We start from the raw sequence: 7,036 nt of genomic DNA, 5'->3' as shown, positions 1-7,036 counted from the left end.
AGCATAAAACAAATAATCTGATTTTTAAAATGAAGAAAGGAACTGAATAGACATTTCTCTAAAAAAGAAACAAAAATGGTCAACATGTATACAAAAAAGTGCTCAACATCACTAATCATCAGGGAAATGCAAACCAAACCCACAATGAGGTACCACCTCAAACCTGTTAGGATGGCTATTAGCAAAATGACAAGAGACAAACATTGGCTAGGGCGTGAAGAACAGGGAACCCTTGCACATTGCTGCTGGGAATGCAGATTGGTGCAGCCATTGCAGAAAACAATATGGAGGTTCCTAAAGAAATTAAAAATAGAACTACCGTATGACCCAGCAATCCTTCTTCTGAGTGTGTATCCAAAGGAAATAAAATCACCACCTCACAAAGACATCTGTGCACTCATGTTCATAGCAGCATTATTCACCATGGTCCAGATAGGCAAACAACCCAAGTGTCTATTGACAGATGAATAAATAAAGAGTTTGGGGCATATATACACAATACAATCTTAGTTAGTATTAAAAATTGAGACTCTGCTATTTGCCACAACATAGATGAACCCGGTGGACTTTACACAAAGCATAATAAGCCAGGCACAGAAAGACAAACACTACATGATCTCACTCATATGTGGAACCTTAAAAAAAAAAAAAAAAAAAGTTAGGCCAGGAGTGGTGCCTCACACCTGTAATCCCAGCACTTTGGGAGGCTGAGGTGAGTGGATCACTTGAGCCCAAGAGCTTGAGACCAGCCTGGGCAAGATAGTGAGGCTTCACCTCTACCAAAAAAATGAAAAAAAGAAAAGAAAGGAGGGAGGGAGGGAAGGAAGCCAGGTGCAGTGGTGTGCACATGTCACCCCAGCTACTTGAGAGGCTGGGAGGCTGAGGTGGGAGGATTGCTTGAGTCTGGGAGGTCGAGGCTGCAGTGAGCCGAGATCACACCACTGCACTCCAGCCTGAGTGACAGACCGAGATCCTGTCTCAAAAAAAAATAGTTGAATATATAGAAACAGAGAGTTACCGGGGTAGAGGAAATAAAATGACGGTCAAAGGGTACGAAATTTCGGTTATGTAGGATAAATAAGCCGAGAGATCTAACAAACAGTGTGGGAACGATAGTTAAAAATATTATAAACCTGAAATTTGCTAAGAGAGATTTTAGATGTTTTTACCACCCACAAGAAAGATTATTATGTGAGATGGTGGCTATGTTAACTCATGTTAATTTGCTTGACTGCAGCAATCATTTCACTATGTATATCAAACTGCCATGTTATACACCTGAAATATGTACAATAAAATAAATATTCGCACCTTTTTCATGCACAGGCCTGTGAGTGCTCACAAGCATATAGCTACCCACCACCACAGCCCACACAGAGCACCTGCATCAGCTGCACATGCTCCCTGTGCAGCCTCTGTCCCCACCCACTGTGCTGCCACATAGTCAGCCTCTGTCCCCACCCGCAGCCCCACTTCTTCCACCTGCTAAAGCATTACCTTTTCCAGAGCATCACATAAACAGTGTGCAGCCTTTGGTGAGCGAGTCCGCTCACTTCATATGATGCCTGTGAGATTCAGATCAGTAGCTTATTCCTTTTTACTGCAGTTAAGTATTTCATGGGTTGGATAGGCCACAATTTGGTTTTCTATTCCCTAGGCAAAGGACAGTTGGGCTGTTTCCGTTTTTGGCAATCGTCAATTATGCCACTGTCACTCATGCAGCTGGCGAACTGGCTGCAATTGTGTAAGGACATCAGTCACTTGGGGCAGTGGGAAGTTCACGAGAAGCAGATGAGGTTTCCAGCCTTCGCTGCTTCACTCTCCGCTGAATGCTGCGACCACTCCTGTGGTCCGACTCCTTGCCTGCGACCCTCACCTCAGCTTTCCTGTGAGGCTCAAATAAAACAAGACCTGATCTATAATACATTATTGTAGAGAGGAAAAAATAAATAAAATAATACCTGACAGCAAAATGTAAACTGTACAGTAGTATTCAAATTGTAGGTCAGGCCAGTTTCAGTGGCTCACACCTGTAATCCCAACGCTTTGGGAGGTTTGAGGCAGGAGGATCACTTGAAGCCAGGAGGCCAAGAGCAGCCTGGGCAACATAGTGAGACCCCATCTCCACAAAAAATTAAAAAATAGACGGATGTGGTGGTGCATGCCTGTAGTACCAGCTACTCAGGACGCTGAGGTGGGAGGATCGCTTGAGCCCAGGAAATTGAGGCTGCAGTGAGCTAGGACTGTGCCACTGCACTCCAGCCTGGGTGACAGAGTGAGACCCTATATTAAAAAAATGCAGATTATGAATCTTGAAAAGATACTCTAATCATACATAAAAACTTGTCAATGAAAGACCACCATACTCTGTGTGTTATTATGCATTCTGAAAAAATTTTGTTTCAGATTTGGGAATATCAAAATCAACACAAATAAATAAGTCAACTCACAAAAGTAAAACGCGGTGATTTTCCATACATCATTCATGCAAAAAAAAATAATAATAATTTACTCTTGTACATTTAAGAAAAATAATTGCTTCCATTAAATACCCAAAGCTCACTTAAGTGGACTGGAACTCACAGCACTGAATTCCAAACTAAAATTGCATGAATGATTTCAAGTTGAAATCACCTGTGGTCCCCAGCTACTGGGGAGGCTGAGGTGGGAGGATCTTCTGAACCCAGGAAGTCAAGGCTTGCAGTGAACTGAGATTGTGTCACTGCACTTCAGCCTGGGTGACAGAGCCAAATCCTGTCTCCAAATAAATAAATAAATAAAAATACGCAAATAAATAAAAATTTAAAAAGAACTTAATCCCCCAATACAATAGTATTCAGGGGTGTGGTGTTTGTGGGGTGATTGAGTTTGTGGGGTGATGAATGGGATTCACACACTTGTAAAAGGGCTCCGGGTTCAAGGGGGTGCTCTCTCTTGCCTATCTGCCATGGGCCATGTGAGGACATGGCAACAAGGCACCATCTTGGAAGCAGAGAGCACTTCTCACCGGGCACCAAGGCCAGCGCCTTGATCCTGGACCTCACGGCCTCCAGAGCTCTAAGAAATAAATTTCTGCTCCTTAGAAATTACCCAGTCTCAGGTGTTTTGTTAGTACAAACGGACTAAGACACAAGCCCAAGTGGGATGATCTCAGGGGTGCTCAGCAAAGGCAGAGATCAGCCCAGAAGCCAGACATCCTCCCCTACTAGAGAGAACAGAAGAGATCGGAGGTGGGGAGTGCCAAAGTATCTGAGGTTACCAAGAAACAGACTGCATTTCAAACTGAAAGTGACTGGCTGATATTAAAAATGGCAATTTCACTTTCTCTCACCAGAAAAAATGTGACTAGCAGGAAGGGAAAAGGTATGAACAAAGACAAATTGGGTTTCAGAAAGTACAGTCATAACATTAGCGAGACTTTGTGAGTTCTTGTGAGGAGACGTGACCTTCCGTTGCTGCTGCTGCTCTTCCCTCTTTCCAGGGGTGACTGCTCCTCTGGGGCCTGGAGTGCTGGCGCTGAGTCAGCTTCCCCAGCTGAGGTGGGTTTTCCTAATGTGTCTATGACCCAAGAGTCCCAGGGGCCCCCGATTCCTCGACCTCTACACTTTCTGAGACACAGACTAAAAAGTGGATGGCCATCAAGAAAAAAGCTGTCAGTTCTTACTTTACGAAAGCCAAGTCCTTCATATAAGCATGCTATGTAATATGTTGGAATTGGCTTCTTCATCCCATTTATCTTCTCCTTTTCCTGTGTTCATAATCTGATCTCTAGAACCCACCAAGAGTGTTAGAGCCAGAGCCCCTTGTCTTGGTTCTTTGCCTCATCTACCTTTAAGGAATGCCTCCCAGTGCTCTCCAATATCTCTGAAAGACACATGCCAAGTTAAAGCAAATCGAGAGGACTTTATTGCAAACTCACAAAGAGAAGGAAAACAGGTAAGTATTCTTCATTACAAAAGTAATAGATAGTATGATTTTGTTTTTTGTTCATTTGTTTGTTTGTTTACTTGAGACGGAGTCCACTCTATTGCCCATGCTGGAGTGCAGTGGCGCAATCTCGGCTCACTGTAATTTCTGCCTCCCGCATTCAAGCAATTCTCCTGCCTCAGCCTCCCGAGTAGCTGGGACTACAGGCACCCACCACCACGCCCGGCTAATTTTTGTATTTTTAGTAGAGATGGGGTTTCACCATATTGGTCAGGCTGGTCTCCAACTCCTGACCTCAGGTGATCCACGCACCTCGGCCTCCCAAAGTGCTGGGATTACAGGCGCGAGCCACCACGCCCAGCCAATAGTATGATTTTTGTGAGGCATACATGGCTTGACTAAAAACCAGTGACTGAGTCACTTATATTTTATTTCATTGCTGAAATATAAACAGTTTCATATATGAGGGAATAAATTCAATCCCACCTACATTTTTTTCTTTTTCACAATTTTCGGTGCTTTTAAAAAATATTGTCTTCTTTTGAATACATTTTTAGTTGATTCATCTTTATTGTGAGGTATAGACACAAAATCTCAGTCTCACAGTATACTTACATTTCTAAGTTTGTTGCCAAGATGTAAAATCAGGGCTTTTACATAAACTAGTCAGATTTCAGGTTTCTGTTTAAAACTTAGAATTCTAGAACTAAGTCAACCACCATCCCTTCAACAAACGTGGCACCAGGAGCTTGTGCAGGCTGCCCCCACTGAGCATGGACTCAGGTTTTCCACAGTCCTCACCACTCCCTACTACCTCCTACTTTCCGTCCACACCTCTCATTTATATCGCCCACCGGAAACTCGAGGAATTGGAATTCACAGCACCTGACTTTCAACCTTGCCTTTAAACAAATAAATAATCAAAAAATAAACAATCAAGTTCCTTCATCAGAGATAAGGGACATTTGAGAGCAGTCAGTTATCTGCAGGAAAAAAAAAAAAAAACAAAAACGGTGATTTTAGTGCTCCTTGTCCATAACAGGTGGCTATGCCCAAGAGCCAAAAGGTAGAGACAACCCCAGTCTCCCGCAACAGATGAATGGAAAAACAACAAGGGCTATACACACACCACGGAATAGTCTAAAGAGAAAGGAAATTCTGACACACACTGCAACATGGACAAACCCTGAGGACATTTGCTGAGTGCGACAGGCCAGTCACCAAGGGACACACACTGTACGATTCTATGTATAGGAAGTTTCTACAGTAACCAAATTCACAGAAACAAAAAATAGAACCAGGGACAAAAAAAAACAGAGGGTGGGGGGATTGGGGAGAGAGGAATGGGGAATGAGTGCTTCATGAGTACAGAGTTTCACTTTTGCAAGATGAAAGCATTCTGGAGATTGGTTGTGCAACAATATGATTATTAAAAGTAAGAAACTGTATTTCGCTTTACCAGATATACCAATATAAATAATAAATGGACTGAATTCTTGAAATATATTTATAAGCATAGAGAAAAGAATGGAAAATACATACCACTTTTGCCTCCGAGGTCACCCTGAAAAGAGGTGACTGAGTTGGGAGAAGAAGTTTCTGCTTCACACAATTCTGTATCATCTGTTTTTTGCAAATAACATCAGCAATTTGTTAAAAAGTTACAGAAAAAGCTAAAAAGAGTTCCTGATAAAGAGGGCAGGGGGAAAGCTCTAGCCCCCGTGTCATTTCTAAAATCAACTACGAACAACAAGAAAGAGAAACAGAAAAGGAATCTCCACTTCTATGAAGACACCACTCAGTGGGGGACTGACCCCCAGGTGCTTGGCACCTGGGACTGGGAAGAGGAGGGCCAGGATGAGGGAGACCCTCTGTAGACCTTGGGGGTGGCAAAGAGAATCAAGGTTTTCCCAGGGCTGAAGCACAAACTAGTGGAGTCATCAACCCTGAGCCCCGCTCTCTTTGGAACCACAAGGTCAAGTCCACGGGCAAACCCCAAAACCTCTTTGGACACTGTGAGCAACAGCAGGAAGTGGGGAGGAAACACGGACGAGCATCTGCCAGAGCAAATGGTTGTCTGTTCCCAGTGTGGGAGAAACTGCAGGTCAAGACCAGCCTCAGCCATGCTGACACCAGTCACTGAGAAGTGCAAGTGAAATCACCCCAAATCTGTGACATGTAGGTTTTGGTGTGAGTCAAGGAGACTTCCTGTTAGTCTGGAGAGGACCACACCCCACAAAGAGGAGCAGAGAGCACAGGATGAAAGCAGGAGGCAGGACTCACGCTGCCTGCCCTGCCAGCACGTCCCCAGGCCTCGGCCTGGCACTGTTCCAGTGCCCGAACCTCGCTGTCACTCTGATGACTGGTGACGCGGATACATCCTTTATCAGAACAAGGACTTCGAGTGCATGAAATAAAACACAGAGATGACAAAGAGAATGGTAAAACATTTTTAAAGTTTGTAATATTTATGCACCAATTAATCATATCTAGCAGCGGGCCTAATAACTGGCATAATTTGAAAGTAGTGGTGACAGCAACTGACGTTTCAGCAAAACTGTAACAATATGAAGGTATCTAATTTCTAATGTGAAAAATGTATAGGACCTACTGATACTAATGGGCTGTGTCACTCACATTCATTAGAGAAAATAAAGAAGAGAACATTCTTCCCATCCAAACTCACAGATCTCCCCTGAATGATATCCACAGACTCCTTGGGGATATTTGCTAGGCCTTCTCCCAACTACTCTCCAAAACAGCGCTACTCCAGGAAAAATTCCATTATTTCAAGAACAGTGACCAATTTTTTTAAAAGAACCATCACGGAAAATATTAAAGATAATGTCAGAGAAGAAAACAAAAAGAGGAAAGGCATATGGCAGACAGAAAGATAATGGAGAACACTGAGTGATGACGGTATACCACAAAGCAGGCACAATAACGGCTCCCAAAGATGCCCATAGCCTAACCCCTGTAAACCATAAGTACTTGATGTGACGTGGCACTCTCATGATGTGACGTGGTGCTCTCATGATGTAGCGTGGTGCTCTCATGATGTGACATGGTGCTCTCATGACGTGACATGGCGCTCTCATGATGTGACGTG

General features: G+C 43.6%; 2 annotated features.

The window, feature by feature from the left end:
* Positions 2,931–2,990: an enhancer, noted in NCBI's record as "active region_2868". NCBI's record gives its function as "activates an Ori minimal core promoter by ATAC-STARR-seq in GM12878 lymphoblastoid cells {active_cell/tissue: GM12878}" and the evidence as "EXISTENCE:reporter gene assay evidence [ECO:0000049][PMID:35858748]".
* Positions 3,101–3,150: an enhancer, noted in NCBI's record as "active region_2867". NCBI's record gives its function as "activates an Ori minimal core promoter by ATAC-STARR-seq in GM12878 lymphoblastoid cells {active_cell/tissue: GM12878}" and the evidence as "EXISTENCE:reporter gene assay evidence [ECO:0000049][PMID:35858748]".

The sequence above is a fragment of the Homo sapiens genome, chromosome 1 (genome assembly GCF_000001405.40).
Source record: "Homo sapiens chromosome 1, GRCh38.p14 Primary Assembly".
Taxonomy (NCBI): domain Eukaryota; kingdom Metazoa; phylum Chordata; class Mammalia; order Primates; family Hominidae; genus Homo; species Homo sapiens.
This window is presented reverse-complemented; position numbering and strand designations above follow the sequence as displayed.